The 21,104-nt window shown below is 38.8% G+C and overlaps 1 protein-coding gene across 8 annotated transcripts in view, besides 1 other annotated feature; it reads left to right on the forward strand.

Moving 5' to 3' along the window:
* Positions 1-21,104, forward strand: part of PDLIM5 (PDZ and LIM domain 5) — a 216,282-nt gene that overhangs the window by 39,971 nt on the left and 155,207 nt on the right. The window lies entirely within an intron of this gene.
* Positions 4,685-4,873: a silencer, noted in NCBI's record as "fragment chr4:95417748-95417936 (GRCh37/hg19 assembly coordinates)". NCBI's record gives its function as "represses an EF-1alpha promoter that drives an FKBP-Casp9 reporter gene in an ReSE screen in K562 erythroleukemia cells {active_cell/tissue: K562}" and the evidence as "EXISTENCE:reporter gene assay evidence [ECO:0000049][PMID:32094911]".

Below are 21,104 nucleotides of genomic sequence, written 5' to 3' on the forward strand. Positions count from 1 at the left end.
GAAGTTTATTCTCCTAGTTTTTTCAAATATACGTTATTATTGACTGTAGTCATCCTGCTGTGCTATAGGTCTCAAAACTTATTTCTCCTGTCTGTCTGAAACTTTGTATCTTTTGACCAGTAACTCCCTATTCCCTCCCCTCAATGTCCTCCTTTAAAAGTAATTTGTATAATAGTCAATGCTGATACACTTTTTTCAGCTTTAAGAATTGTTTTTCTTTTCCCATTTCCCATGAGTTAATGGATAAGAGAGAGGACCAATTTAAATTTATGAAGCAGGATCTTCAATGTGTTTGCTAGCTTGAAAGGTACTCCACATTTTTATTATAAGAGAATGTGTTGGAATTAACTGAGTTTGTGTTGAATTATACTTCCTCTCTTTTTTTTTTCTCTCCCCATCCTGTTTTCTCTCTTTCTGATTGGAATGAATTTATTAGGATCTTCCACATGCAGTGTGCATGCACTGTGGTAGTTTTTAAAATTTAGGTGAAGTTTACATAACATGAAATTAACCATTTTAATGTGTATAATTCGGTGGCATTTTGGTATTTTCAGTATTGTGTGACCACCTCTATCTAATTACAAAACATTTTCATTACTCCAAGAGGAAACTTGGTACCCATTGAGTATTTACTCCCCATTTCTCCTGGCAGCCATCAGTCTGTTTTCTGTCTTTACGGATTTACCTATTCTGGGTATTTCATATAAATGGAATCATATGTGTCCTTTTATGTCTGGCTTTTTTCACTTACCATAATGTTTTTGTGGTTCATCTTTATTACAGCATAATACCGGTTTCTTACTCCTTTTTATTGCAGAATAATATTCCATTGTGTTATCATATGTTTATTCATTCATCAGTTGGTGGTCATTTAGGTAGTTTCCACTTTTTTGCTATTGTGAATCCTGCTGCTGTGAACATTTGTGCACAAATTTTTGTGTTGACAGATATTTTTATTGCTCTTAGGTATAGACCTAGGAGAGGAATTAGTGGGTCATATGGTAATTCTATGTTTAACTATTTGAGGAACTATGAGACTATTTTCCAAACTGGGTGCACCATTTTAACTTCCCACCAGCAGTGTATGAGGGCTGCACTTTCTCCATATAACATGGCAACACTTGTTATTGTCTGTAGTCATCTTGGTGAGCATGAAGTGGTATCATTGTGCTTTTATTTGCATTTTCCTGATAGCTAATGATATTGAGCATCTTTTTATGTGCTTATTGGACATTTGTATATCTTGTTTGGAGAAATTGCTATTCGGATCTTTTGCCTATTTAAAAATTATGATTTTTCTATTATAGAGTAGTAAGTTTTTTAAAACTATATTCTAGATACAAGTCCCTTTTCATGTACATGATTTTCTTTCATTCTGTGGATTATCTTTTCATTTTCTTGATGGATTTTTTTTTTTGAGGCAGAGTCTCACTCTGTCACCTAGGCTAGAGTACAGTGGCGAGATCTCAGCTCACTGCAACCTCTGTCTCTGGGCTTACATGATCCTGCCACCTCAGCCTGCCGAGTAGCTGGGACTACAGGTTTGGGCCACCATGCTTGGATAAATTTTTAAAAATTTTTTTGGTAGTGACGGAGTTTCATCATATTGCCCAGGTTAGTCTCAATGACCCTTTTAATTGCTGAATAATAATTTCTTGAATGTATGATAATTTTTAAAACTCTATACCATAAAGATGATAATTTAGTATTATAAAAGCTGCTGCTTTAAATATTCTGCAGTCTTATTTGTTAATTTCCTTAGGGTAAACCAAGAGGTATAATTATTGGGGCCAAAAGTTTATGTATTTTTATATTTTTTGATAATTATTGCTAAAATGCCCTCAAGAAAGATTATACTCCAACAGTGGGAGCATTTAAGAGTCAGAAAAATGTTTAGAAGTGTACATTTTTCATAGACTATTGTAATCTGCCTTCTCACTGTATACATTAGATTTTGACTACGTACTTGACTCCAGACTACTTTCATATCTTGCAGGTTGGTGTAATTTTTCTCTCCCTCTAATACATGTTCCTCCTGTATTGCTAAGCCTTTTTTATTTTTCTCCAGACAGGATATCACTGTGTCACCCAGGCTGGAGTGCAGTGGTGTAATTGTAGCTCACTGTAGCCTCTACTTGCTGGGTTCAAGTGATCCTCCCACTTCAGCCTCCCGAGTAGTAGGGACTATCAGCATGCACCACCATGCATGGTGAATTATTGTTTTTGTTATTTTTTTGTGGAGATGGGGTCTTGCTCTGTTACCCAGGCTGGTCTCCAACTCCCGGCCTCAAGCAGTCCTCCCATTTCAGCCTCCCAAAGTGTTGGGATCATGGGCTTGAGGTGCTGTGCCCAGCCAAGACTTATAGCTGCATTTCTTCATGCGCTTCTGCATGTATACCTTGAAATTTCTGTATATTTTTTAAGGCTTCAATCAATATGGCCCTTCTTAATGAAATCTTTCTCAGTTTCAACACCTAAATACAAGTTTATCCTGAGCATTCACTAATTTTTTTTTTCTTGTTTTTTTTTTTTTTTTTTTTTTTTGAGACGGAATTTCACTCTGGTCGCCCATGCTGGAGTGCAATGGTGTGATCTCTGCTCACTGCAACCCCTGCCTTCTGAGTTCAAGCGATTCTCCTGCCTCAGCCTCCTGAGTAGCTGTGATTACTGGCTCCTGCCACCATGCCCGGCTAATTTTTGTATTTTTAATGGAGACAGGGTTTTACCATGTTGGCTAGGCTGGTCTCAAACTCCTGACCTCAAGTGATCCACCTGCTTCGGCCTCCCAAAGTGCTGGGATTACAGATGTGAGCCACCGTGCCTGACCACAGTTTTTTTGCTATCGTTGTTTTTTGTGACAGAGTCTTGCCCTGTCACCCAGGCTGGAGTGCAATGGTGCAATCTCGGCTCACTGCAATCTCCGCTTCCCTGGTTCAAGCGATTCTCCTGCCTTAGCCTCCCGAGTAGCTGGGATTACAGGTGCACGTCGCCACGCCCGGATAATTTTTTTGTATTTTAGTACAGACGGGGTTTCACTTTGTTGCCCAGGCTGGTCTTGAACTCCTGAGCAATCCACCCACCTTGGCCTCCGAAAAATGTTAGGATTACAGGCGTGAGCCACCATGCCCGGCCCGACCATGTTTTATATATTCGTCACTGAATTCTAGAACTGACCACTGTTTCTGACATATAATAGTGGTTCTCCTTAACACTAACTTTATGCTTGGACCAAATCAGGTTTCCCGTCAGTATTATATTCTACAGTATATCTTTCATAGTAATACTGTGTTCAACTTTAAAAGCTTGTTAATTGTGATCATACTCTTACTAGGATTATACTAAAGGTTCTACTTGTGTTTGTGAACATACATGACAAAAACACACATATTAAAATTATTTGTTTCCGAGTTTTATACTATCTAATGACACAACTGTGTAAGCATGGTATTTTACTGTTTAAAATTGTAAAGTATCCTGTTAAACTTTACTTTTAAATTTTTCTTAAGACTTCTTAAGTTGCAGTAACTGTCTATCAGATGTTGACCTTAACAACATCTCCTGTTAGGTAGAATGACAAAATTAAAATGGAGCTTAGTTGAAAAAAAAAAAGGTTTGGCCGCTTTGAAGATAAAGATGCATATGCTAGGAACAGGCATGGTATGCTCTGTGGTCAGGGAAGGCCTCCCTGCAGAAGTGACTTCTGAGCTGTAACTGGAATGGTAAGAAGATCATGATGCATATTACTAAGGACAGAGCCCCACTCCCTTAAACCATTCCAGGGAGGGAGGAGGCCCCCAGTGAGGAATGGCTCATGCTTTCCAGGGGGGTACACACCAGAAGCAAGGCTTGCAGGTGCAGAAGTTCCTGAACTCACGTATGATGTAGTTGCAGAGAGTTTTCAATTTTCATGGAGCTGTGTGAGCTTGAAAGATGACAGTCAGTTTGAAAGATGACCATGGACCAGTTGCCAGAGGGGTCTTCCTGAATAGCCTGCTATGCAGAGGAACTTAAGGATTTTTATATGTCCTTGGGAGAGGGAAGAGAGGAGAGAAAACTCTAACAATGGCTAAAATTGAATTTCCCTCAATTCAGAGGAATGGGGACTTCACAGTCAGCTTCATTAAAGAATATGTGACATTTCTAGCAAAAAAAAAAACCAAAAAACAAGGTTTGGCATTGTAGTTATTTGTCCATCTACCCTAGGCTTACAGATTTGTTCATCAAGTAGCAAAAACAGATGATTTACATATAACCAATTGTCTAGGAAATTTTTAAAAATTTGAGTCATTTGACTGTTAAGTAGAAATGAATGTATTACTTATTTTGTAGGTAAAAAAATAATTTTAGAATTCTTCTGGAAGTCTTATTAAATTGATAAATATATTAGAGGTCATTTTAATGATGATCAGTACAAGATTTTTTCCAAGTGAAATCTGGGGATTGCTTTATTCCTCTTATACCTTGAATATCACTAATGCATTAGGTTGAATCATTTGGGGGCTGCTTTCGCCAACAGACTAATGCCCAGGAAATATCTGGGTGAACAGTTTGCCAGATGCACACTTTATTTATTTATTTGTTTATTTATTAATTAAGAGACACAGTCTCAGTCTGTTGCCCAGGCTAGGGTGCAGTGGTACAATCTCTGTTCACTGCAGCCTCTGCCTCCTGGGCTCAAGCAGTCCTCCCACCTCCACCTCCCAAGTAGCTGGGACAACAGGTGTGCACTACCATGCCTGGCTAATTTTTATATTTTTTGTAGAGACAGGGTTTTACCATGTTTCCCAGGCTGGCCTAGAACTCCTGGGCTTGCGTTCCAGTCTGCTGGCCTTGGCCTTCCAAAGTGTTGGGATTACAGGTGTGAGCCACCCCGCCCAGCCCAGATGCACATTTGACCTAATGAACTGACAATTCACTGCTAATTTTAGGTTCCATTTGACTTAATCCTAAAAATGAGAGCATAAGTAGATAACAGCCTGTACATTGAAGTAGTTCCAGAAATATTGGATTTATCTAAAATTATGTTTTTCATTATAGTGTAGTTGCCCTGTAAATTTTTATTGATGGTAGTGCATAAAAAGGCATTAAAATTTGAGACTTCCTGATTTTAGAAGGTTTATGCCAAGCAAGTTTGACACTTTTAAGCTTACACCAAATGGGTGAATTGTGATCTAAGAATTGCTTAAGACTATACTTGGGTGCAGTTTTCATTTTTTGAAGGCTGCTTTACATGTGATTCTTTGTCCTATGTATTATCTATCTCAAAAGAAGGCATTGTAAATGGATTGAATTGAATTAGCACTTTTCCTTGATGGCTTTTGTATCCCTAATGATGTTGCTCAGCATTATGAGGGCATGTCTTAACAGTAATATACTTATGATCAGTAAAATCTTTCTGCTTAGTATTTTAAAGTTGAGAAGATAATTAATTGATTTTTCATCCTAATAGTAATGACTACTTTTTATTTAAAGAGGTGAAAATAATAATTCAGACACCTAATATAAGTATCCTAATAGAAGTAAAAAGTAGAGGAAGGACTTACACTCACTGAACTATATAAAACATGATATGATTATTGATTTTATAATACAAAATTCATTTTGGAAAAATAAATTGATTATGCTCATCTTTTAAGATATCTTTCTGAGGCTACCTTGACATTGCTATTGGAGAGATAAAGGGAAAAAACATCTACTTGAACTATTCTGTCTTAAAGCCTGTTTGTAGTTTGGTTTGTCTTCAGTGCATGTCATCAAAAAGATTATGTAGACAGAATGAAACAGCTTCATTTAAAAAACTGAAATGTTTTGTGTTAACTGTGTGTGAACGATATATTGCCCATTAGAATGTATATCTAATGGGCCATCCTGTAGTTCAAATCTTAGGAGATTTTGGGCCACTGTGAGCTACCAACATTTGTCTCTTTAAAACTGCAAGATTGAATGGGTAGCTACGTGCTGGACAGCATGTAGCTGTTGAGAAGGCTTTGGATGCTGAGAGAAGGAACTCAGGATACCTGTTTGTAAGGGAAGTTTTAACTTGTTCTGTGTCCTGAGAGGAAAAACTACACTGTTACAGTTGTTGTTGGAAAATCCTTTCTGAAGAACCAAAAGAGTTATTTTCTCACTGCTTAGCTAAACCTAGATATTCAGCCAGTAATCCACATGAGGATTGACCTGGGCTTTCGGATCAGGGCTCAGCATTGAGAAACCAAGTATTTGTGCTTTAAGAAGCGGGCTCATTTGTATTGTACTTGCTGAGGGACACTACTGTAACATTTATTCCTCATTTAAATTCAGTGGCTAAATTTAAAATCACTTCCCCAGGAGTAATTGCAGAAGTCTTTCACCCATGGCTGAAAATGAAAAATAAATTTATTTAATAGAGATGCTTTTGTGTTTTCATATTTCATTTAAAAAACTTTTGCTATCATAATGACATATTCACAGTTCACGACTTTCACACATATGGGTCTTCTTTTTGAAATTCTTTCTGCCTAGCTAACACTTGGACTTTCTGAGGAACTAACCTGGTTGACTCCTAGACTAGTTGAGACATGCATGTCACTTCTCAAAATACCTTGCATTAAAGAAGTAGCACATTTATGAGAATTGTATTTAAATACTGAAATTTTACTAATTATTTAATTACTTTCTATACTAACTTCACAAGGCAACACTTGCATTTTCGTTGTTGTTGTTCACTGCTGTATTGCCATTTCCCATTGCCTCTTTGATGCTTAATGGATGTGTACAGAATGAATGAATGCATGTGTGCATCCACTGTAAGATGAGGAGGGGAAACTGATGTGGGTGGGAAGACCTCTGAATCATAAGTAAAGTTTTGAGGGTTTTTCTCCTCCTCTCACATTTGTGTTTTGGAAAAGTAGGTTCTTTAATCCTTCATGTGTGACCTTTCACAAGGCAATTAAATTTTTTTATAAAGCCTGTTTTACTTTATTATGTGACTTCATAATTATAACTATCTGATATTTTATTCTCATTTAGCAGATTGCTCAAACAATAGGTATAAAAGCTGTTAACGGTAAAAATGTAGCTGTTAATGGTAAAAATGTGAATCACAAATTATTTTATGGAAGTATTTAGGGTTGGGTATTGTGGTCTACTTTAGTAGACCATATGAATGAGAACTTGAACACTTTCAAAATAATTTGAGATAAGATTGGTTAGACCAAATGGTCACCAAAATATAATTTATGTTAATAGATATTTCTGGAAAAAGCGAAGCCTTCTCTGAAAAATAAAGTCTTTCTTATAATTAAGAGACATGCATATTATATTTTACTGTTACAATAACCACAGGTCTTTATTTAATTACAAGAGAGAAAAAATATAAAATGGAGGAAAAAAGTAATTATCTGTATTTTTTCACCCCTTTCTTGGAAATAAATGGAAACTTTCATTTATTTATTTATTGAATAAGTCATATATTCATAAGGTTCTAACAAAAGCTACAACAAACACATAGGTGAAAAATATATATTATATTAGTCTTCTATATTTGCAGGTTCTGCATCTGTGGATTGAAAATGTTTGGAAGAAAAACAATGTAACAATAAAAAATACAAAGAAAAGAACCTAATACTGTATAACAACAGTTTACATAGCATTTACATTGTGTTAAGCATGACAAGTAATCCAGAGATGATTTAAAGTATATAGGCAGATGCGTGTAGGTTATATACAAATACTATGCCATTTTATATAAGGCACTAGTCCCCAGTCCCCGGGTTATGGATGGGTACAGATCCATGGCCTGTTAGGAACCAGGCTGCACAGCAGGAGGTGAGTGGCAGGTGAGTGAGCATTACCACCTGAGCTCCGCCTCCTGTCAGACCAGCAGTGGCATTAGATTCTCAGACCAGCAGTGGCATTAGATTCTCAGAGGAGCACGAACCCTATTGTGAACTGCACGTGCAAGGGATCTGGGTTGCAGGCTCGTTATGAGAATCTAATGCCTGATGATCTGAGGTAGAACAGTTTCATCCTGAAACTGTAACCCATCCTCCCCTCCCCCTGACCCACCTGTGGAAAAATTGTCTTCCATGAAACCAGTCCCTGGTGTCAAAAAGGTTCGGACTGCTGATTAAGGGACTTGAGCACCTGTAGAATTTTGTATCTGCAGGGGGTCTTGGAACCAATCCCCTGAGGATACCCAGCATGACCATACTTTTCATATATTTTAAGAACTGTATGTATTTCCTTTCATTAGACAGACGCTTTTAATGTAAAAACCTTGTACATAGTAGAGAATCTAGAAGTGGTATCACTTTGACAGTGGTGACTCTCTGTACTTTGATAACTCAAAGTATAATTTTTTCTGATTAAGTTTCTGCACCTGTTAGCAAAAGCAACCCCTTTCAGAGCATCTGAAACCTTGTAAGAATTTTTGAAAAGCTGTGAACTTTATTAATATTTGTGAATTCCTTCATTTTCAGCCAAAGGGATATTCATATAACAGTTAACATTTTACCAAGTCTTAAACTAGAGGATTGATATTCACAATATTTGGCCTCAGGAAAGTTTTATGTAAGTTATACAGGCATTTTTCATTTTTTCACTGGGGAATTGATGGCAGACTAGAGAGGGGAAGAAGAACAAAGAAAGCATGAAAAGGGGCAGAAAAGGTGTTTTGAGAATTCCGGTCTTTATTTTCCATAAAAGAAGTGATAGCAACTAAAATAGTATTTTTTAGTTCTTTTATTTACTTCTAATTTTTAAAATACAAAGTATAAAGAAGACTTTTTAAAAAGTTGCTGATAATCGTGTCTGCTCCTTCCTGGTAATATTCCTAGGAAGAATATTTTTCTAAATTTATTTCTTTCAAAGTTTATGGATTTTATTTATTTATTTATTTATTTATTTATTTTTAGACAGAATCTGGCTGTCTCCCAAGCTGGAGTGCAGTGACGTGATCTTGGCTCACTGCACCCTCCACCTCCCAGGCTCAAATGGTCCTCCTATCTCAAGTTTCCCAGTACTGAGACTACAGGCATGTGTCACCATGCTCAGTTAATTTTGTATTTTTTGTAGAGACAGGGTTTCGCCATGTTGGCCAGGCTGGTCTCCAAATCCTGGGCTCAAGTGATCCACCCACCTTGGCCTCCCAAGGTGCTGGAGTTACAGGTGTGAGCCACTATACCTGGCCTTTTTTTTTTTTTTTCTCAGACAAGGTCTTGCCCAGGCTGGAGTACAGTGGCAGGAACACACCTCACTGCAGCCTCGACCTCCCAGGCTCAAGCGATCCTCCCACCTCAGCCTCCTGAGTAGCTGAGACTACAGGTGTGTGCCACTATGCCTGGCTAATCTTTTTAATATTATTTTATTTTTTGTAGAGATGGGGTTTTGCCATGTTGCCCAGGCTGGGCTCAAACTCCTGAGCTCAAAAAGTCTATCCACTTGGGTCCCCCAAAGTGCTGGTATCACAGGCGTGAGCTACTGTACCCTGCCTAATTTTATGGCATTGAGGGCATAAAAAATGGTCTTTGCTGTTCCAGTGTAGTGCTAATCAAAGTGCTGCCTGTGGATTTGTCAGTTTATGACAACATAAGTTCAGAAATTGAGAGTAAGAATTTAGAAATTTTTATAGCAATTTGACAGTAATTTTATGTCTGTTGAATCTAATAATAAGAATTTGGGGCCTGTATTTTATAGTTTTTTAGAGTTCATTTTTCTGATAACTTGGTTTTTGTTGTATTTTACTAAAGTATTAGCCTGAAACAGATTGGAGACTTTAAAAGACTGACAATCCTCACAGTTTGAGAAGCTGTGCTCTATATTATTTCATTTTTCAATCATATTTGAGATCTTCTTATTCCTCCCTCACTCAACCAACCTCCCTCTTCTCAGAGATAGACTTCCATCATCATTCATCAAGGGCATACCAAGGAAGATCTTCCCACCAAAATAAAAATATTGGGAAGAAATAGTGATACCCATCAGGGATGGGAGAAAAACTCAGAAGGCTGACTTCTTTCCTCTCTGGATGAGCCTACTAATGGGGTTATGGAGTAAGGTTCAGTAGGAGAACTGCAGAGATTTATAGAATGAAGAAAGGGGACTTTGGGGGCTCTGCCTTTTCTGCTACTTTTCTCTCTTCGTTTCCTTCTTTTTCTTCATTTCTCTCCCCTTTTCCCTTATTCCTACTCTTCTTCTGCTTCCTTTTCTCTCTTCCTTTTTGGTCTAGGTGGTTAGAATTTGTGACTGAGGAAATTTGTTTTGAAGCTTGTGTGATGTTTGGAAATAGCTGTGTTTCTCCTGGAAGCTAGAAGAGACATACCGAGAGTTAATCAGGGCAGCCATCTAGAGTTAGGCTTTAAGAGAGTGAAAACTCCTGACTTATCCAGCCTACTATATTTAAGTAGGAAGAACAGATAGTGAGATTGAGGGATTCAACTGTTAAAGAATCAAATGTGCAATGTGTCAAATGTGTTATCTCAGGAGGGAGGATGGCAATGATGTGTAGGGTAAGCGGCAGCCCACATGGTGGTCATGAGATGGGCTTTGGAGTCACACTGCCTGGGTTCCAGCCCCAGCCCTGTGATCTTTAGCTCTGTGACCTTAGACTAGCAACTTAAGTTCTTTCCATCTTGTTTTCTCAGTTACAAATTGAGGATAAAAGTATCTACTCCATAGGATTTTTATGAGATTAAGTAAGTTAAGGCCGGGCGCAGTGGCTCACACCTGTAATCCCAGCACTTTGGGAAGCCGAGGTGGGTGGATCTTTTGAGGTCAGGAGTGCTAGACCAGCCTGACCAGCATGGTGAAACCCCATCTCTACTAAAAATACAAAAATTAGCCGGGCGGGGTGGTATGCACCTGTAATCCCAGCTACTCGGGAGGCTGAGGCAGGAGAATTGCTTGAACCCAGGAGGCAGAGGTTGCAGTGAGTCAAGATCATGCCACTGCACTTCATCCTGGACAATGGAGTGAGACTCCACCTCATTAAAAGAAAAAAAAAAGTTAATACATGTAAAACATCTAACTATCCAGGAAGCATATTGAAATAGATATCTTTGTGATTGTTGCCACTGCTGTAGGTACTAGCCATATATTTTGCAGGGCGAGCTTTGGTAAGGTTTTTTCCTTTCTAGTTTGTTATTTTGAAAATGTTGGTTTTAATTCGTAGACAGACATTTTTGGTAATGATTGTCTTTCTGTTTTCAAGTTTAGAGATATAGGATATGTTGGGTATTACTTAAATTATTTCCCATGTCCCCCTGTAACTGATAGTCACAAAACAGAGGCATAGAAAGGTAAATTATTAGGGTGGCAAGCAAATTACTTTATATAGTCTACACTTCCTCATCTCCCTCACCACCTAAACTGCTTAAACTGCTGAGCAAACTCAGGACGATAATTCAGTGACTGGTGTACTCCGATTTGAAATAACTTTTTGGATACTGAATATTAATTCAGTGTTTAAATTATTACTGCAAGAGGATTTCTTAATCTGTCTTTAGCCAGTAGAATTTTTGAATAACTTGGGTATTTTTCACTGACTTTTCCTAAATAATACTGTTTTAGAATAGCCTCTCATCGTGTAGTAGGAAGATGGTTTTGATAGTAGAGCTTCACATTGGGACAAGAAGAGCAGTAATATTGTCCAGTTCATGTGTGAATTTATTTTAGAGAACTGCCAAGTTTCTCCTCCGATGTGCCTGTCACTTGGCCACCAGAAGGATTTCTTTCATTGCCAATCAAACCATTTAGTTTCTGATGATTGTCCTATTTTAAAAAACCCAAACATCTGATTTATTTTCCAACGTTGATACCTCAGACTTTTTTCTCCATCAAACAAGCAAGAAAGGTCATTTGAACATCTAACTGTTGACCACTCAGAGTTCTACCCCTTTTATATTCTCACTGTGTTCTGCTTGTTTCTGTTAGCTCATAAATAGCAGGTTGTGATTTTGGCTAGCATCAAGTTACTTAACGTGAGCTTACATTTATTATATGCAGAATGATAGGGAAATTGACTGTGTTTAGCTATCACATCTTTTTATTCCCATTTGGAGTCATTACTATTACATCTTTATGGGACAATTTAAATATCCTGTTTAGAAATAATACAATACCCTGGATAATCAGAATTCTGTTTGGCTAGGAGACCTCCTACTCCCTTGTTTCAATCATTTACTAGTGTTATCACAGTCTAATAGAAAGGTATTTTAGTATTTTCTTTTGAAATTAAGTTTATTATTCATTTTAGTAATATAAATCCAGGTTCCTATTAACTAGATTGAAGCTCACATTTCATTTTATAGCATTTTCTACAAAAAAGCAAAAAAAAGTTTGTGATCTGATTGAAATCACTATGATGTGTAATGAGAATCAGAACTTCATGGTTGTGCGACTTTCTTTTTTTTTTTTTGAGACAGAGTGTCACTCTGTCACCAGGTTGGAGTGCGGTGGCACTATCTCGGCTCATTGCAACCTCCGCTCCCGGGTTCAAGCAATTCTCCTGCCTCAGCCTCCCGAGTAGCTGGGATTACAGGTGTGCGCCACCACGCCTGGCTAATTTTTGTATTTTTAGTAGAGATGGGGTTTCGCCATGTTGGCCAGGATGGTCTCCGTCTCGTGACCTCGTGATCTGCCCGTCTTGGCCTCCCAAAGTGCTGGGATTACAGGTGTGAGCCGCCGTGCCTGGCCCGTTACGCTATTTTCATGGAGAAAGACTACCATATGTAACTGAAATTGTGTAATGGTGCTCTTGTGTCTGGTCATTTATGCACCAGTAACTTGTTAAATACATAATCTGTTTCTCATTTTCAGATTCATGTCTTCTGTTCAGTACTCAGGGCTTGTGGTTGTCTGCCTTGTGTTTAGACATACCCAGGAATCTCATTACTTTGCATTGAAGACTGTTTTTATTTTTGGAATGTTCTGAATGTTTCCAAACTCTGAACTGTGCTGAGTATTGAAATCTTTCTTTCTGGAACTTGCACTCATAACCACTGTTCTTACTTAGAGGATTATTAGATTCCTGGGTCCTCACTGAGACTTTCTAAACCAAGTTTCTTGTAATGAGTTTGCATAGTCTGAATTTTATAACAGTGCCCTGAGAGATTTTAAAGAGATGGGCAGTGGGGTGGTGGGGATAAAACCAAAGTGTTTTTCCTATTTTCACACCATTCAGCACAACACTTCTGACAATAGACATGTGGGGATATTTCCCCATACACCAACCAGTCATTTCTCCAGTGGACACCAGCCGGGTGTACTGCAATTCAATTCTGACACTACCTACCTGGAGATAGCCTTAGATCTTACAGATTGAGGGTTCAGTCCTACAAGACTGCTCCACATTTCAGATGCCAGTCTTAAGTCACTTTTTTTTTTTTTGGAAACAGCCTTGCTCCATCACCCAGGCTGGAGTGCAGTGGCGTGATCTCAGCTCACTGCAACCCCCACCTCCTGGGTTCAAGCGATTCTTGTGCCTCAACTACCCGAGTAGCTGGGATTACAGTTGTGCGCCACCATGATGCCCAGCTAATTTTTGAATTTTTAGTAGAGATAGGGTTTTGTCATATTGGCCAGGCTGATGTTGAACTTCTAGCCTCAAGTGATCTGCCCACCTCAGCCTCCCAAAGTGCTGGGATTACAGGCATGAGCCACCACGCATGGCTGGAAGTCACCTATATTTCTGATCAACTGGCTATAAATTGCTGGGTCCCATGACTCCTTCCTTGGGTTCAATTAATTTTCTAGAGATGCTCACAAAACTCAGGGAAACACTTTACTTACATTTACCCATTTATTATAAAGGATGTTACAAAACAGTACAGACGAACAGCCAGATGGGAGAGATGCACAGGGCAGGGCGTATGAAAAGGGGAACAGCGCTTCTATGCCCTTTCTGGGAGCCACCCTCCAGGTGCCTCCAGGTGTTCAGCTGTCCAAAAGATCTCTGAATCTAGTCCTTGTGGGTTTTTAAGGAGGCTTCATTATGTAGTTATGATTGCTTACGTCATTGGCCATTGGTGATCAACTCAAACTTCAGCCCCCTTCCCTTCCTAGAGGTTGGAGGTGGGGCTGAAAGTCCCAAACTTATCATGCCTTGGTCTTTCTGGTGACCAGCCTCCATCCTGAAGCTACCTGGGGCCCCCAGCCACTATCATCTCATTAGCATACAAAAGACACTTCTATCATTAGATTTCAAGGATTTTAGGAGCTGTAAGCTAGGAAAGTGGACCAAATATGTATTTCATAGTATCACAGATTTTGATCAGCCAAGTGTGGGAAGTACTGCTCTGTAAAACACAGTAATTCAGTCTTTTCAACGCCATCATATTTAAAGTAATTCCTAGTATGATATAATTTATGGATCTTTCTGTGTTCTGATGGTGATTGTTTCTCTGATACTGAATTGCACGTAATGTTCTTGATGTCTCAGCTAAATGATTGACAAAATACCTTAGACTGGGTAATTTATAAACGACATTATTTTATGGCTCACAGTTCTGGAGACTGGGAACTCTGAGATCAAGTTGCCAGCAGATTCAGTGTCTCATGAAGGCTCACTTTGCTTCAGGATGGTACCTGATAGCTGTGCCTCACATGGAGGAAGGGCAAAGAGGCTAACAAGCTTCCTCAGGCCTCTTTTATAAATATTACTAATTTTATTCATGGAGATGGAGTCCTCATGACCTGATCACCTCCTAAAGGTCCCACATCTAAATACTGAATTTGAGATTAAGTTTGAATATATGAATTTTGGAGGGAATAAACATTCAGAACATAGCATTCTGTCCCTGTGTGATGGTTAATATTAGGTGTCAACTTGGTTGGATTGAAGGATGCTTAGATAGCAGGTAAAGCATTGTTTCTGCATATGTTTGTGAGGGTGTTGCCAGAGGAGACTGACATTTGAGTCAGTGGACTTGGAAGAGGAAGACCCACCCTCAATGTAGGTGGGCACCATCCAGTCGGCTGCCAGCACCGCTAGAACAAAGCAGGCAGAAGAAGATGGGATTATCTGTCTTGCTGAGGCTTCTGGCTTTCATCTTTCTCCCACGCTGGATGCTTCCTTCTGTTCCTCCTGCCTTTGGACCTCAGACTTCAGGTTCTTCGGCCTTTGGACTCTTGGAATTAACACCAGTGGTTTGCTGGGGCTCTTGGGCTTTTGGCCACAGGCTGAAGGCTGCACTGTAGGCGTCTCTGCTTTTGAGGCTTTTGAACTCCGACTGAGCCACTACTGGCTTCTTTCTTCCCCAGCTTGCAGATGGCCTATCGTGGGACTTCATCTTGTGATCATGTGAGCCAATTCTCCCCAATAAATTCCCATATATATATATGGGATATATATATATATCTCCTGTTGGTTCTGTCCCTCTGAAGAACCCTGACTAATACACCCTGGTGTCCCAAAATTCATGTCCTTCTCACATGCAAAATACATTCATTTCATCTTGGTAGCCCCAAAAGTCTTAACTTGTTCCAGCATCAACTTGAAAATCTGAAGTGCAGAGTCTCGTTTAAATATCTAAATCGGGTATGGGTGAGACTCAAGTTATGATTCACCTTGAGGCAAATTGCTCTCCAGCTGTGAACCTGTGAGATCAAACAGGTTATGTGCTCATATATATAAGGCACTCATTAACCATTTGCTGAAAGAATGGAACCTCATGGCAAACTAATCTAACTCTGACTTTTAAGATTACAGTAAAATATTGGTCTCAGCATTCAATAATTATCAACAGTTGGTAGTACTGATAATTTTTGGTGTACACAAGGAAAGCCCTAAATGGATTCTAGATTTACCTGCAACTTCTGGTAGTGAATTCTTGTTCTCTCTAACAGAAATGGCTTTAGCCTTATCCTTATATTTGAGTGCTTCTGGGCTGTTACTTTGAAGGGCAGAGGTGATTTGATTCATCAAAGCACTAACGTAATGAGTGGGAGAGGATGAATCAGCAGACAGTGTGCTGGAGAAATACTCTGCCAGGCAAACCAAAATCTTGCTTCTCTGCTCCTTCACTCCCTCCTTGGTATGGACTTTGCTCAACTGGGAACAGTGACATTGCTTAATAGATTTTTCCCTAACTGCTGTCAGCACCCTGCCCTCTGCCAATCTCAGCATTACCCAGAGCACAGGAACACATGGTCCACCACTGCAGTAGAACAAGAATCTTCAGTGTTGCTTCAGTTTATTTTACTCTTAGTTTTAAAAAAGAAAAAGAAAAAAAGAGGCACTGACATAAGAACATTTCCTTTCCATTTCTAGCTGTTTTTTGTGATTGTGCATTTGATTTCTGTAGGGGAAGTAAAACAGCTAGAGTTAAATCAATGCTGTGTGACGAGAGACCAGAGAGCTAGAAGTGATCTACTAACATTTGGTGCTGTCTTGATAAAAGCCAACTGTGTAGGCTGGCTTATTGGGCAAAAAATAAATAAATAAACTTAGGATTGTGAAAAAAGGTACAGGAAACTTATTAAGTGGTATTGGTGGAAGTTCTAACCTAAACAAAGAGCTGGAAGGAAAAGGCTCCCTTGGAGGTCAGAAACTTGGCTCCTTGGGTCAAGTGTTGATGGGCCTTGGTTTTGAAAGGCTACAGCTGTATAAAGGAGTCTGTTGCCATACGTCCTGGGGCTGGAATGGGCTGAAGACTTTCTCATCTTCTCTAAGGGATAGGAGAACATACTTAGTAGAAAATGCACTGATAGGAGGAACCAGGAGTTGGCAAGCATGGATTTCTTGGAAACAATCTGGCATCCAGGAGTAATAGCACATAATATATACAATCTGTTATAAAGAATAAAATCACACTAGTTGATATGGAAGCAGACTGTAAACTTAGATTGTTCAGAAGTTATTTATCATCCTATACTGTGCTCTTTATCATTACTTTCAATGGCAAAAACTGTGATTACTTTTGCACCAACCTAATATGACTTTTGGCAGCCTTGCTATCCTTGACTCTCAGTTTTCTTGTTACTTTCTCCCTATGCTGTAGACACCTTTAATTGCCTGCCATTCCTTGGAAATGGTAGTGTTTTCATATCATCGTGTCTTTCACATGTTTTTTGTTTTTGCTTGCAGTACATACTTCTTTCCTTTTTTTGTTTCTGCAAATTCCAAACCATGTTTTATTACTCAAAGCAGTTGTCATCATCTCTTGAGAAACTGTCTTCATGCCTCCAAAGTGTATTAGTTGTTCCAGTCTTTGTGTTATTGATAGCTTGTATACATTTCATCATTATATCATAATGGCCCAGATTATCTTTTCTCTTTGCTTGTCCCTCTGCCTGGAATGCCTTGTCTCTGGATATCTGCTTGCTCTCTCCTTTACTTTGTTTTGGTCTCTGGTCTCTGTTCAAATGTCACCCCTGCCAGAAGTCTTCCCTGACTACCCAAACTTAAAATAGCATTTCTTGGCATTTTCAGTACCCTTTCTCTGCTCTATTTTTCTTTTGTAGTACATCTTTTACTTCCAGACATTTTATTACATATTTATGTTTATTTGTTGATTTTCTCTTTCCCCCTACTGAATTTAAGTTGCATGAATGCAAGGACCTCATTTTGTTCATTGCCATATGATGCCATGCCTACAACAGCCTAGCACTTAGTAGATACTTAGCAAGTATTTGTTGAATGATAGAATGAATGAATATTTTATTTCTCCATGTATTAGGGTTCTCTAGAGGGACAGAACTAATGGAATATATATGTAAAGGTGAGTTTATTAAGTATTAACTCACGTGATCACAAGGTCCCACAATAGGCTGTCTGCAAGCTGAGGAGCAAGGAGAGCCACTCTGAGTCCCAAAACTGAAGAACTTGGAGTCCGATGTTTGAGGGCAAGAAGAATGCAGCACGGGAGAAAGATGTAGGCTGGGAGGCTAGGCCAGTCTCTCTTTTCACATTTTTCTGTCTGCTTTATATTCTAGCCATGTTGGCAGCTGATTAGATGGTGCCCACCTAGATTAAGGCTGGGTCTGCCTTTCCCAGCCCACTGACTCAAATGTTAATCTCCTTTGTCAACACCCTCACAGACACACCCGGGATCAATACTTTGTATCCTTCAATCCAATCAAGTTGCCACGCAGTATCAACCATCACACCCCACTAGTTTAATAGTTCATTCTTACAGTCATCAGCATCTGGCACTTATGTAATCACTCAGTAAACGTATAGTAAATGAATAAATGCATAGTTCAGTATTAAATGTCAGGGGGCTCAACTGTTACCAGTGGAAAGAAGATTCTTGTTCTTTAGATGAATTCTTTCTAAAGAAACAACAATTTAAGGTCTGAAAAAGTAGAAAAGGTAGATTATTCCCACTCCTAGTTTTCTCTGGAGTTTTCCACTCCAGTTTTTGGGTTTCTATTGGTGATGTGGTTTTAGGTTTTTGAGAAATACCCATGTTTGCTGGATAAGACAAGAGGAAATTATTTGGAAGATCTGTGTAAATATTTGCACACCATGTTTTTTTCCAAATAAATTCTTTGATGACATCCTAGATTTTTTTTGTCTGTCTTCATGTGTTTGGAATGGTTCCCCAATCTGCATTCTTAGTGATGTCTGCTTGAAACAGTTTACCATGCCCCTTTTTCCTGTTGCTGTGTATTAGATTATTATACGAAAACGCAGACCTTTTAGTAATTTTCAGTTTTACTTCTGTATGTTTAACTTTGATTATTGTTCATCTGATAGTCCTAATTTTGTTGCTGTTTTAATCAGTTTTGCAATGATCTCGTCTTTTTCATCTTAGACCCAGAGCTGATTTTAACCACTTAATGCTAATCTCAAGAATTCTCTCAGTTATTTTAATATTTTAAAACAGGAAAATAGGCTGGCCACAGTGGCTCACACCTGTAATCCTAGCACTTTGGGAGACTGAGGCAGGCGGATCACTTGAGGTCAGGAATTCGAGACCAGCCTGGCCAACATGGTGAAACCCCATCTCTACTAAAAAAATACAAAAATTAACTGGGCATGATAGTACAAATAAAATAAAATAAGGAAATAAAAATAATACGTATGTAGCAACTGGAGAAGAATACAAATTTGTTGCCCACATGAAAAATGAGTATTAGTGTTAATAACTGTTTAGACTAATGAAAAATTGTAAAGTCTATGTAAATATTTATCACCTCTTAGAATTGAAAAGAACCCTAGAAACATTTGATCTAACCATCTTGTACAGCTAAGCGGAATGAGGCCAGAGATATAATTGGCTTGCCCAAAGTCACAACATTTGTTAGTGGTAATAGTGCTAGAATTGGCCTCAGGTTTCCTTTATACTACTAAGGGTTGCAAGGGCATGGGCTGTCAGGCACTTTCATACATAGTTTGTGGAATTATAAATGGCCACAAATATTCTGGCTAGCAACCTAGTATCATAGAACAGAAATTTTAGTGTGCATACCTTTTTATTATTTTTTTTTATTTTTAATTTTTGTGGGTACATGGTAGGTGTATATATTTATCGGGTACCTGAGATGTTTTCGTACAGGCATGCAATGCATAATAATCACATCGTGGAGAATCGGGTCTCCATCCCCTGAAGCATTTATCCTTTGTGTTACAAACAATCCAATAACACTCTTATTTTAAAATGTACAATTAAGTTATTATTGACTATAGTCACCCTGTTGTACTATCAAGTAGTAAGTCTCATACATTCCTTTTAAATATTTTTTACTCATCAGACATCCCCCCCAACACACACACACACACACACACACCCCTCCACTACATTTCCCAGCCTCTGGTAACCATCCTTCTACTCTCTGTGTCAATGAATTCAATTATTTTGGCTTTTTTGGTCCCGCAGATAAGTGAAAATATGCTTATCTTTCTGTGCCTGGCTTTTTATACTTAACATAATGATCTCCACTTCCATTCATGTGGTTGCAAATGACAGGATCTCATTCCTTTTTATGGCTGAATAGTACTCCAGTGTGTATATGTATCACATTTTCTTTGTCCATTCATCTGTTGATGGACACTTAGGTTGCCTCCAAATCTTGGCTGTTGTGAACACTGCTGCAACAAACATGAAAGTGTAGATATCTCTTCAATATACTGACTTCCTGTCTTTTGAGTATATACCCAGCAGTGGGATTGCTGGATCATACAGTGGCTCTATTTTTTTTTTTTTAAGATGTAGTCTTGTTGTGTCACCTAGGCTGGAGTGCAGTGGTGCGATCTCGGCTCACTGCAACGTCCACCTCCCAGGTTCAAGCGATTCTCCTGCCTCAGCCTCCTGAGTAGCTGGGACTACTGGCATGCCCCACCACACCCGGCTAATTTTTGTAATTTTAGTAGAGACGGGGTTTCACCATGTTGGCCCGGATGGTCTCAATCTCCTGACCTCATGATCCGCCCGCCTCAGCCTCCCAAAGTTCTGGGATTACAGGCATGAGCCACTGTGCCTGGCCAGTAGCTGTATTTTTAATGTTGAGGAGCCTTCAAACTGTTCTCCATAGTGTTGTACTAATTTACGTTCCCACCAACAGTGTACAAGGGTTCCCTTTTCTCCAAATCCTTGCCAGCATTTGTTATTGCCTGTATTTTGGAAGAAAGCAATCTTAATTGGGATGAGATGATATCTCATAGTTTTGATTTGCATTTCTCTGATGATCAGTGTTGAGCACCTTTTCATATGCCTGCTTGCCATTTGTACGTCTTTTGAGAAATGTCTATTCAAATCTTTTGCCAATTTTTTTATTGGATTATTAGATTTTTTTTTTCATAGCGTTGTTTGTCAGATGGGTAGTTTGCAATTTTTTTCTCCTATTCTGTGTTTTGTCTCTTTGTTGATGGTTTTCTTTGTTGTGTAGAAGCTTTTAAAGTTGATGTGTCCCATTTGTCCATTTTTTTGCTTTGGATGCCTATGCTAGTAGGGTATTGCCGAAGAAATTTTTGCCCAGACCAATGTCCTGGAGAGTTTCTCCAGTGTTTTCTTGTAATAGTTTCATAGTTTGAGGTGTTTGAGTTAAGTCTTTAATCCATTTTAGTTTGATTTTTGTATATGATGAGAGATAGACGTCTAATTTCATTCTTCTGCATATGGATGTTCAGTTTTCCCAGCACCATTTATTAAAGAGACTGTCTTTTTCCCAGTGTATGGTCTTGG

This window comes from Homo sapiens, chromosome 4, assembly GCF_000001405.40.
Source record: "Homo sapiens chromosome 4, GRCh38.p14 Primary Assembly".
NCBI lineage: Eukaryota > Metazoa > Chordata > Mammalia > Primates > Hominidae > Homo > Homo sapiens.